This window comes from Homo sapiens, chromosome 15 (genome assembly GCF_000001405.40).
Source record: "Homo sapiens chromosome 15, GRCh38.p14 Primary Assembly".
In the NCBI taxonomy this organism is placed as follows: domain Eukaryota; kingdom Metazoa; phylum Chordata; class Mammalia; order Primates; family Hominidae; genus Homo; species Homo sapiens.
Window position 1 is genome coordinate 98,967,878 of NC_000015.10, and position 12,503 is coordinate 98,980,380.

Sequence of the window (12,503 nt, forward strand, 5' to 3'; positions counted from 1 at the left end):
GTTAATAGGTACAGAGTTTCAGTTTGGGATGAGGAGAAAGTTCTGGAGATGGATGGTGGTGATGGTTGTACAACAAGGAAATGTACTGTATACTACTGAACTGTATGCTTGAAATTATTAAAATGAGTAGTAAAAGGGGCAAACACAGAGACAGAGAAATCATACAGTAGAGCCTCGGTGGCTTCGAGGCTACCCAGGACCTGGACACACAAGCTCAAAGGCCAGGAATGGGGTCCCTGGAGCAGCGGCTGTCTCTGTGCTTCTGTAAGCATCTCCAAAACAGGTCTGTGGTCCCCACAGTCTGCGCAGGATCACACAGACCCACTGTGTAGATTTTTGGAAGAAAACAGATGACTCGGATTTCATTTTATTGTCATGAAAACCATAACTGAAGCTAGTTCATCCCCTGTGAAATGTCCACCTTTCAGAGTGTTCTTTCTCCTGACAATAAAATAACCCTTTGTGATTTTGTTGGGCTAATTCAGAGTTTTCCACCCTCTTTGTCTTACAAGCAATTTTTGAAAAAGTTTCTCAATGCACAGTTGAGTGCTACATACAGGATTGAAACATTCAATTTTCTCTAGAGGAGCAATCCCCCGGTCAGTTCCCTTTGGCTGGAAGGACCATGGTTGAGTTTTCTTCGAACTGGGCTCTGTGCTTGGGCTTTCCCACCTCTTCCAGCATTTCCTGGATGATGACTCTCAAGGCTCTTCCCAGCAGGCTGGCCGGGAGCCCGCGCGATAGTGGAGGGACATGGATGAGTGCCGCGCAGCCCTTTCCATGATGCAGAGACAGGTAATAGGTATAATCACAGACGTATCTGCAACCACAGGAAATGCCACATTAATTCTCGGACCAGCCTCTAACCTCAGTGAAACATACGCAGAAGTGGCAATGCAACACCCACAAAGCCTGAGGAGGGAGCACTGCCACCCAAGGGAGACTTGTGTTGTTTCACCTCAGAAAGAACATGGTGCCAGGATGAGCTGGGGAGAGCTGGCTCTTGGCCTCATGGCCTCATGACCGGCAAGTGGCCAAGGCAGAAAGGGGTCAGATATTCCACAGCACCTGCATCCCAGTGAATCCCTCTCATTCATGTCTTCGTTGAGTCACTTACTCATTCATTCACTGGGGAAAGGGGAAAAACCACCTACTGGGGATCGGAGTTTGGAGAAACAAAGGTAAATCAATCTTTATCTGGGGCTACATCAACACAGTTAACTCACAACTTCGGTCACCCCAAAAATCAAAATCAGAAAACATTCACGAAATGTTAGTGGCTCTTGAAGTCTGCCTTCCCATCTCTTCTCCTAGATCAACACACCAAAGACCGTGTTTCCACAGGCAGGTCTCACAAACGAGACCTCAGGCAAGGTGTGAGCAACTGTGCTGGCCTGCACACAGCAAAGAGGGGCAATCTGGGGGCGGCACCGCATGGCCAAGTGGCCAGCTGGACGATACAGGATGGCTTCTTGGAGGTCGGGGGGACGCTGACGGCCATTGCTTCTCTCCTACCTGCTCAGAGTCCTGACACCCACAGAGCATACCTGCCTGCATCTCGGGAAAAGATCACGTCGACACCCTCCACAGCTACGCGCTTGCAGACTGCCTTCATGCAGACCCCTGACTCCAGCACGTCTGGGCTGCCAGGTAGGCACACGCCGCCCTCGGGCCAGAAGCTGCGGATGTCGGCGTCCCGGTAGCCTTGGTTCTTGCCAGACTGTTCCAGAATGATCGCCTTGGCGGCGGTGTCCATGCCCACATGCACGACGAGCTGTGTGAACGGGTAACAGCAGAGAGAACCCAGGAAAACGAGGCCCACCCTGCTCACCAAATGTGCAGAAGGGGCCACTCCTTTTGAGAGCCCGGCTCTGTGCAAAACATCTCAAACCCCAAATCCACTGGGAAACCCCAGGATCCCCCACCAGTGTCTCCTAATTAATATGGCTGGAAAGAAAAACAGCTGGATTCTTTTAGCTGAATAAAAACTCATGCTGCATTTACATTTAAATGCTTTTTACTTCAAATTATTCTTACAGGGTAATGTATTCTCTTTTTGTGGGGGGAGGGTTGGAGGGAGGAGAGGCAAGCTAGTAAGTGGTGAGGCTACCACAGCAGAGTCTTCGTGTTTTGGTGGAATCCTGAATCTTTTTATTTTATATTTTATTTATGTATTTATTTATTTTTATGAGACAGAGTCTGGCTGTATCACCCAGGCTGGAGTGCAATGGCACCATCTCAGCTCCCTGCAACCTCTGCCTCCCGGGTTCAAGTGATTATCCTGCCTCAGCCTCCCGAGTAGCGGGGACTACAGGTGCACCACGCCCAGCTAATTTTTGTATTTGTAGTAGAGATGGGATTTCACCATGTTGGCCAGGCTGGTCTCAAACTCCTGACCTCAAGTGATCCGCCTGCCTCGGCCTCCCAAAGTGCTGGGATTATAGGTGGGAGCCACCGTGCCCGCCTCCTGCATCTTTTTTTAAATGAAACTTTAATAAAGGAAGTTAGTGGCCATCCAGTGAAATCTTCTTAGAATTTATTCAAGCTGATTATTTTTCCTTTTTGAAAAATAGCTGCCCAAGTATGTTATCAAAACATCTGGGGCATTGTCTGAATGGCTTGATAGTGTATGTTTTATTAACCTCATCACATCTGGTCCTTGTTTGGGGTTTTTTTTGGGGGGGTGGGGTTGTATCTGTTTTTTATACAGTAATTATGTCCAGATAAAATGGGCTCGTGCTATGAAGATGGGCCTCCCCTAGGCTGGCCACCCTCCCAGTCGCTCCCTGGGCACAGAGGTCCTTGCCTCACGTCCACCTTCAAACCTACCTGCCCCTCATGGGTATGTGTGGGGCCCAACCCAAGGGCCTCTCCCTTAGGTGGAAACTATTTTTGAGTCCTGGCTGGGAATAATACTTCCATTTCTTTTCCTCCTCCTTTCTCTCCAGATTTTCTATTAAGATCTAATCCATATTTTGGCTTAAACTTTTACAAACAGACCCAGAACCTTACACAATCAGCTGGGACCTTGCATGACTGGTGGGGCCTGGGGACGGGGTGCCCCTCAACCATCAACCCTAGAACCAGGACCCGGGGGTTCAGAGGCTCCAGCTCCACATCGCCAGTCCCATGCCCCACTGCCTCTGGCCATCACTTACTTGCGGCTGATGATCTTCCCAGATTCCGGTGACCCTCCGCTTAGCCTCCCTGTAATCTACAGGCAGCTCCAGAGTCCGCAGCTGCACCACTGTTTCATTCCCCAGGCCCAGCTTGGAGAGCTCCTGAGGAAAGCGGCAGGTGGACTTGCCTCAGTTGATGGGGGGGGGGGGGGGGTGGGCACCAAGAGTCCCTGAAAACCCAATCCTTGGGGTCTACTTCCAGGGGTCTTCCGCAGCCTGGACTTTGCCCTCAAGGAGCTCACAAAGTGGCAAGGGGCCAAGAAGAGAGCCACAGTTCCTACCAGAGAGGCAAATGCACACAGCAGCACCTGTCTGTAATCCCAGCTACTTGGGAGGCTGAGGCAGGAGAATCACTTGAACCTGGGAGGTGGAGGTTGCAGTGAGCCGAAATAGTACCACTGCGCTCCAGCCTGGGTGACAGAGCTAGACTCTGTTTCCAAAAAAAGAAAAGAAAAGAAAAATCCAAAGTGTGAAGGAAAAAAAACCCACCAACAACAATACTGTACCCAGCAAAGCTATCCTTCAAACATGAAGAAGAAATAAAGACTTTCCCAAACAAAAGCTGAGGAAATCAATGCCAGACCTGTCTTACAAATCTAAAGGGTTCAACTTGAAAGAAACAGATACTAACATGTAACAAGAAAACTTCTGAAGGTATTAAACTCACTGGCACAAGTAAGAAAACACATTCAGAATACTCTAATATGGTAATGGTGTTAAGTGAATCATGTACGTCTTAAGTGTGAGACTAAAAGACAAAACTATAAAAAATAATTACTACAGTTGGTTGAGAGATAGGCAACATAAAAAGATAAAACTGAAACACTAAAAAGTCAAAAATGTGGGTGAAGGTTGGTGTTAAATTGTAGTTTGTTTTTGATACTTTTCTTTGCAATCCATGTTCAGTTGTTATCATTTAAAAATAACTTATTATAACTATCCAATTTTTTTATAAGCCTCATGGTAATCACAAAAGAAAAACCTGTTAGAGATACATTAAAAATAAATAGCATGGGCCAGGCATGGTGGTTCACACCTGTAATCCCAGCACTTTGGGAGGCCGAGGTGAGTGGATCACTTGAGGTCAGGAGTTCGACACCAGCATGACTAACATGGCAAAACCCCATCTCTACTAAAAATACAAAAATTAGCCAGATGTGGTGGCAAATGCCTGTAATCCCAGCTACTTGGGATGCTAAGGCAGGAGAATCACTTGAACCTGGGAGGCAGAGGTTGCAGTGAACTGAGATCGTGCCATCGCACTCCAGCCTGGGCAACAAGAGCAAAACTCCGTCTCAAAAATAAATAAATAAATAAATAAATAAATAAATAAATAAATAGCATGGAATAAAAACATTCTACTAGAGAAAATCACTTAACCACAAATAAAGATAGTAAGAGAGGAAAAAAGGAAGAAGGGATCTACAAAGCAACCAGAAAATAAGTATCACAATGGCAGTAGTAAACACCTGCCTATCAATCATAACCTTGAGTGGAATGGATTAAATTATCCAATTAAAAGGTGCAGTGGGCCGGGCACAGTGGCTCACGCCTGTAATCGCAGCACTTTGGGACACCATGGTGGGTGGATCACGAGGTCAGGAGATCAAGACCATCCTGGCTAACACAGTGAAACCCCCCCATCTCTACTAAAAATACAAAAAATTAGCAGGGCATGGTGGCAGGCACCTGTAGTCCCAGCTACTCGGGAGGCTGAGGCAGGAGAATGGTGTGAACCCAGGAGGCGGAGCTTGCAGTGAGCAGAGACCGTGCACCACTGCACTCCAGCCTGGGTGACAGAGTGAGACTCCGTCTCAAAAAAAAAAAAAAAAAAAAAAAAAAAAAAGTGCAGTGTAGCTGAATGGATTTTGAAAAAATAAAGATCCAACTATACGTTGTCTACAAGAGACTCACTTTACCTAAAAAGATATGCACAGACTAAAAGTGAAGGGTTGACAAGATATTCCATGCAAACAGAAACCAAAAAACAGCAGGAGTAGCTATACTTATATCAGATAAAATGGACTTTAAGTCAAGAATGGTGAAAAAAAGGACACAGAAGAACATCATATAATGACAAAGGGATCAATAAAGCAAGAGGATATAGCTATTATAAATGTATATGCACCTGACACCAGAGCACCTGAATATATAAAACAAATATTAATAGACCTAAAGGGAGAGATTAACTGCAACCAATAATAGCAGGAAACTTTGATACTCCACTTTCAGCAATGGACAAATCATCCAGACAGAAAATCAACAAAGAAACATTACAGTTAAACTGCACTCTAGACCCAATGGAAGGAACAGACGTTTACAGAACACTCCATCCAACAGCTGCAGAATACACGTTTTTCTCAACAGCACATGGATCATTCTCCAGAATAGTTCAAATGTTAGGTCACAAAACAAGTAACAAATTTTGAAAAATTAAAATTATATCAAGTATCTTTTCTGACCACAATGGACTAAAACTAGAAATCAATAACAGAAGGAATGTTGGAAACTGCACAAACTCATGAAATTAAACAGCATGCTCCTGGACAATGAATGAGCCAGTGAAGAAATTAAAAAGAAAATTTAAAAATTTAAGACAAATGGCAATGGAAACACAATATATCAAAACCTATGGGATACAGCAAAAACTGTTCTAAGAGGGAAGATTATAGCAATAAATGCTTTCATCAAAAAGATAGAAAGACTTCAAATAAACAGCCTAATGATGCACCTAAAGGAACTGGCACTAACCAACCAAACCACACATTAGTAGAAGGAAAGAAATAATAAAGATCAGAGCAGAAATAAATAAAAATTCAAACTAAAAAAGCAATACAAAAGATTGCTGATATGAATAGGTGGTTTTGGGAACAAACAGAATCAACAAGCCTTTAGCTAGACTAAGAAAAAAGAGAAGACCCAAATACATAAAATTTGATATGAAAAAGGAGACATTAAAATCGATACCCCAGAAATACAAAGGATCATCAGACACATAATGAACAACTATAAACCAACAAATTGGAAAATATAGAAGAAATAGGCTGGGCACAGTGGCTCATGGCTGTAATCCCACCACTTTGGGAGGCCAAGGTGGGCAGATCACTTGAACCCAGGAGTTCAAGACCAGGACAACATGGCACGAACCCGTCTGTACTAAAAGAATACAAAAATTAGCTAGGCCTGCTGGCGCACGCCTGTAATCCCAGCTACTCAAGAGGCTGAGGTAGGAGGATTGCTTGAGCCCAGAAGGTTGAGACTGCAGTAAGCCAAGATCACAGCACTGCACTCCAGCCTGGGTGACCGTGTGAGACCCTGTCTCAAAAAAAAATAAAAATAAAAATAAAATAAATTTCTGGACACATACAACCTACCAAGATTTAACCACGAAGAAATAAAAAACCTAAACAGATCAATAATGAGTAACAGATAGAATCAGTAATAAAAAGTCTCCTGACAAAGAAAAGCCCAGAACCTGATGGCTTCACTGCTGAATTCTACCAAACACTTAATGAGCTGATACCAATTCTACTCAACTATTCTAAAAAATTAATGAGGGGCCGGGCGCGGTGGCTCATGCCTGTAATCCCAGCACTTTGGGAGGCCAAGGCGGGTGGATCACCTGAAGTTGAGAGTTCAAGACCAGCCTGGCCAACATGGTGAAACCCCATCTCCACTAAAAATACAAAAATTAGCTGGCGTCATGGCACACATCTGTAGTCCCAGCTACTCAGGAGACTGAGGCAGGAGAATTGCTTGAACCCTGGGAGGCGGAGGCTGCAGTGAGCCAAAATCGCACCACTTCATTCCAGCCTGGGCAACAAGAGCGAAACTCCACCTCAAACAAAAACAACAACAACGACAACAACTAAAAAGAGATATACCATATTATCCAGAAATCTGACTGCTGGGTATATATCAAAATAAAGGAAATCAGTATATCAGAAAGATATCTGCCTTCCCATGTCTTTTGCAGCATTATTCATAATAGCCAGGATATGAAATCAACCTAAGTGCCCATGAATGAATGAATGAATGGATACAGAAAATATGGTAATCATACACAATGGAATATTGTTCAGCCAGAAAAAGAATGGAATCCTGTCATTTGTAGCAACATGGATAGAACTGGAGGTCATTATGTTAAGTGAAATAAGCCAGGCACAGACACACAAACATTACATATTTTCACTCATATATGAAAGCTAAAAAAGTTGATGTCATGGAGGTAGAGAATAGAATGATGATTACCAGAAGGTGGGAAGGGATGAACGGGAGGGAAGTATGAAAAGAGGTTGGTTATTGGATACAAAAATGCAGTTAGAAGGAATAAGTTCCAGTGTTCAATAGCATAGTAGGGTGACAATAGTTAACATTAATTTATTGTACATTTCAAAATAGCTCGAAGAGATTTAGAACGTCCTCAGCACAAAGAAATAAGTGTTTGAGATGATGGATATCCTAATTACCCTGATTTAATCATCAAATGTTGTGTATGTATGTGTCTAAATATCACTTGTACCCCATAAATATGTACGATTGGCCTGGGCATGGTCGCTCACGCCTGTAATCCCAGCACTTTGGGAGGCCGAGACGGGCGGATCACTTGATGTCAGGAGTTTGAGACCAGCCTGGCCAACGTGGTGAAACTCCGTCTCTACTGAAAATACAAAAATTAGCCAGGCATGGTGGTGCATGCCTGTATTCCCAGCTACTTGGGAGGCTGAGGCAGGAGAATCGCTTTAACCCAGGAGGCGGAGGTTGCAGTGAGACAAGATCACGCTACTGCACTCCAGCTTGGGCGACAGAGCGAGACTCTGTCTCAAAATAAATAAATAAGTAAATATGTACAACTATTATGTATTAAGAAAAAAATTGAAAAGAAAAGATGTATGGTGAAATAAGCCAGATTAAAAAAAAGACAAATGTGTGATTTCACTTATATGAAGTATCTAGAATAGCCAAATTCTTAAGAGAAAGAACATACAGTGATTACCAGACGTTGGGGGAAGGAAGAAATGGAGGGTTATTGTTAATGAACACAGAGTGTTAGTGTGGGACAATGGAAAGTTCTAGACACGATAGTAATGATAGTTGTACAACAATGTGAATGTACTTAATGCCACTTACTTGTACACTTTAAAGGGTTAAAATGGTAAATTTAATGTTATACATCAATGTTATACATATTTTACCATAATTTTAAGAAAATTATGGCTTTCACCATCACCAACATTTTTTAACCTGACTAAAAAGTTTGCTCTGAACGAAGACTAAATCCGTAGTAAATCATTTAGCTCAGGCTAACATCCCTCAGGGATAATAATTAAGTTGGGATTTTAACTAAGCATACTCTTTTCCATATCTGAAAGCCTTCTAGAGTTCTATGGAATCACAATCTAAAAGTCATTTTCTCATATCACAACAATAAAATCTGAAGCCTAACAGTATTTAAGCTGCTGGTTTGCTGAAAATGTCTCAGGACTTGAGGTGTCCTGAAGAGAAATCATTATGGATGGCAATTATTCCCATATAAATGCTGTATTGCAAAAACCCAGATCAAAACATAGATGTTTTCCTAGGAACAGAAGAGGCAAGGAGGGGCAGTGGCCACTCCAGAATTTTCTGGTGGCTGAGGCCTGAGCACGGTGAGCTGGCTGGAGGAGGGCATGGTCTTGGTAAGGGAAGCTCATGAGTAGATTATGTTTACTTGCTGCATCTCAGAGACATGAGTAAAGACATGAAAATTTTAGTGGAGATAATACATTTTTACAGATTATTATTTTATTTCACTGAATTATCACAGCAACCTTTCAAGTTAACAAGAGGAGAAACAAGGAGGGCCTGGTCAACTTGGGCCTCATGCTCCTCACCTGTATAATGGGTACAACAATACTGTATCCACCATAATGATTATTAGGACCCTAGAGAGGTCAAGTAAAATGGCAAAAAAAAAAAAAAAAAAACAAGTCTGTAGTGACTTTGATAAGAGTAGTTTGAGTATGGAACCAGGCCTGGAGGCCAGGCCATGGTAAATATATTTAAAAGTTAATAGAAATGGTCTTTTATTTTTTTTCTTGATCAATCTAAATGAAGGTTTATCAATTTTATTAATTTTCTCAAAATATTAACTTTTGGGTTTTGGTTTGATTTCTATTGTTATATTTCTGCTACTTCATTGATTTCTGCTTTCATCTTTACTATTACCTTTCTTCTGCTTAGTTTAATTTGTTCTGTTAGTTTCTTAAGATAGAAATCAAAGTCACTGATTTGAGAACTTTCTTCTGCTATAATATTGTTTAGTGCCATAAATTTCCCTCTGATATGTTTTAATTTTCATTCATTTCAAAATGCTTGCTAATTTCCTTTTTATGTCTCCTTTCATCTCTGGCTTATTTAGAAGTATCTTGTTTGGTTTCCAAAATTTAGGAAATTTCCAGATGTCTGTTATTGATTTCTAATTAAAATCCACTGTGGCCAGAGAACACACTTTATGTGACCTGAATCCTTTTGAATTTATTCAGACTGGTTTTATGGCCCAGGGTATAGTCTCTGTCTTGGCAAACACTGCATATGCACATATGAGAGTGTGTTCCATGCTGGGTGGAGTGTTCTACAAATGTCAATGAGGTCTGGTAGGTTGGTAGTGTTGTTAAAGTCTGCTGTATCCTTTTTGGTCTATGTGTTCTGTCCGTTATTGAGAGGGGTACTGAAATCGTTGACTATTAACTGTGAATTTATCTATTCTCCTTAAAGTTCTATTAGTTTTTGCTGCACGTATTTTACAAGCACTGTTATTAGGAGCATGAATGTTTACATCTATTATGTCTTATTTATTGACCATGGTTCATTGAATGCTTAATACCTAATTGCTACACGACATTCTGACTCCACATTGTGAGCTCTAGAACACAGCTCTCAAGGGAGGTAAAGGTCAGGAATAGTCTTACAAGTGGGCAAAAAATAGGGTGAGCCCAGCAGGCTGTTGGCTGAGGGCTGCTGCCCAAAAGGCATCTTGTGGCTCCCCAACCATTTCCCCATCTCTTGGGGACCCAGTGCCTGAAATTTCACCTCCAGAGATCTTTTCGGTTCATTAGTCCCTGTCTAGATAATTTTGCAAATGCCTGCAAGAGAGGAAACACAGCAGCACACATGCTTCCCTGATGAAAGAGAAGGCGCTGTGTGTGAGCACTAGGGCCCAGAGTGGAACCCGAAACTGGGAGAGTCGGGGCACCCCTGAGAGGTGCAACTTCCCAAGGCTGGTCTGGGGTATGGAGTAATCATCTGTGATTACAGATGTCAGTGTAGAGTCCAGGGACCTAATTAATGGCATCTCAAACTGGCTCACAGCCTGCAGGCCCAGGCAGGCCTACTGGATTTTGGAATCCCAGATTTGGCATCTGTAATGTAATGCTGACATTTTTCAAGATTTGTACCATGGAAGTGGATGTGAGGATGGAGATGAGAAAAGGTTTGCCCAGTAGACTTCCCTTTTTTGTTTTTTCCCCAAAAAAAACTGTGTAGAACGGAAAAGAACTAAGACTTATCTTCTGAATCCTGGACCAAATTAGACATTCTGCTGCCCTAAGTAACCTGCCTGATTTCCAGGGCCCCACTTATTTGTGTCTTTTTCTCTAGCATTAGACTGTGTATATATATATATATATATATTTTTTTTTTTTTTTTTTTTTTGAGGCACAGTCTTGCTCTGTCACCAGGCTGGAGTGCGGTGGCATGATCTCGGCTCACCGCAACCTCCGCCTCCCGGGTTCAAGCAATTCTCCTGCCTCAGCCTCCCGAGTAGCTGGGACTACAGGCACGCGCCATCACGCCCAGTTAATTTTTGTGTTTTTAGTAGAGATGGGGTTTTACCATGTTGGCCAGGATGGTCTCGATCTCTTGACCTCGTGATCCGCCCACCTTGGCCTCCCAAACTGCCGGGATTACAGGTGTGAGCCGCCGCGCCTGGCTACAGGATATATATATATATATATTTTTATTACATTTATGGCAGCACAAATATAGCCCCAATGCCCTCAAGATTCTGGTCTGGATTCTGTGAAACAAGATAAACAGGTCAGACTGTTTCCCATGCTGACAGAGTGCGTAACCCAGGAAGGATGTGATGGATTTCATCAAATCTAAGTCCCAGAGATGGAACATCGAGCATTACTGTACGAACCAGCAAGACAGTAAAAGTACTGCTCAACTATGACAAAGCATAAGATGCAGCTGCCTGTGAGATTCATCTGATTTCAGGATGCCAAAATTAAAACAAAAAAAAAACCAAAAAACACCTGGCTCTTTGCATCAATAAAATATGGTAGGCGATGAGTACAAGAACAGGAGGACATGCACATAGCAACACAGCACAGACTTCTATATATAAGTAGTGTGGTTATTTAATAAGTGCCCAACAATTTGCAATTGCAGAAATGTGAAACCAGCCCAAATTCCCATCAATCAATGAGTGGATAAAGAAACTGCGGTATATAGATAGGATGGAATACTACTCAGCCATAAAAAGAAATGTATTAATGGCATTTATAGCAACCTGGATGGGATTGGAGACTATTCTTTTTTTTTTTTTTTTTTTTTTTTTTTTTTTTTTGGAGACAGAGTCTCACTCTGTCACCCAGGCTGGCGTGCCATGGCACAATCTTGGCTCACCGCAACTCTGCCTCCCGGGTTCAAGCGATTCTTCTGCCTCAGCCACCACAGTAGCTGGGACTACAGGCGAGTGCCACCACACCCGGCTAATTTTTGTATTTTTAGTAGAGATGGGGTTTTACCATATTGACCAGGCTGGTCTCGAACTCCTGACCTTGTGATCTGCCTGCCTCGGAGACTATTATTCTAAGTGAAGTAACTCAGGAATGGAAAACCAAACACCATATGTCCTCACTCATAAGTGGGAGCTAAGCTATGAGGATGCAAAGGCATAAGAATGATACAATGGACACTGGGGACTCGATGGGAAAGGGTGGGAAGCAGGTGAGGGATGAAAGACTACAAATTGGGTTCATGTATACTGCTTGGGTGATGCTGCACCAAAATCTCACAAATCACCACTAAAGAACTTACTCATGTGACCAAATACCACCTGTTCCCCAAAAACTTATGAAAATAAAGAATAAATAAATGAAAAGTGTCCAACTTAGTCTAACTTTTAATACAGCTAAACACACAGCCATAAAAACAAAGTGTGGACTCGTGCCATTTCCCTTGGAGCAGAGAAACCTGAACGATCAGGGAGGCATTGTCCTAGGATAGTAAAGGGAGGAGGGGGGAGGAAAAGGTTTCAGGAGGAGACAGACTTTCAAA

At 42.7% G+C, this 12,503-nt stretch overlaps 1 protein-coding gene across 2 annotated transcripts in view; it reads right to left on the reverse strand.

Annotated features, from left to right (window-relative positions):
• Nucleotides 1–351: 351 nt before the first annotated feature.
• Nucleotides 352–12,503, reverse strand: part of PGPEP1L (pyroglutamyl-peptidase I like) — a 39,564-nt gene continuing 27,412 nt past the window's right edge. The window contains exons 3-5 of one of the 2 annotated variants that reach the window (NM_001167902.2): nucleotides 3,159–3,281; nucleotides 1,548–1,774; nucleotides 352–820 (exon numbers count right to left, since the gene is read on the reverse strand). In NM_001167902.2, the coding sequence (NP_001161374.1) occupies nucleotides 601–820; nucleotides 1,548–1,756 (429 nt within the window). In that variant the 5' untranslated portion in view covers nucleotides 1,757–1,774; nucleotides 3,159–3,281 and the 3' untranslated portion in view covers nucleotides 352–600. The remainder of the gene's footprint in view (nucleotides 821–1,547; nucleotides 1,775–3,158; nucleotides 3,282–12,503) is intronic. The other variant, NM_001102612.2, reaches the window with a different exon arrangement.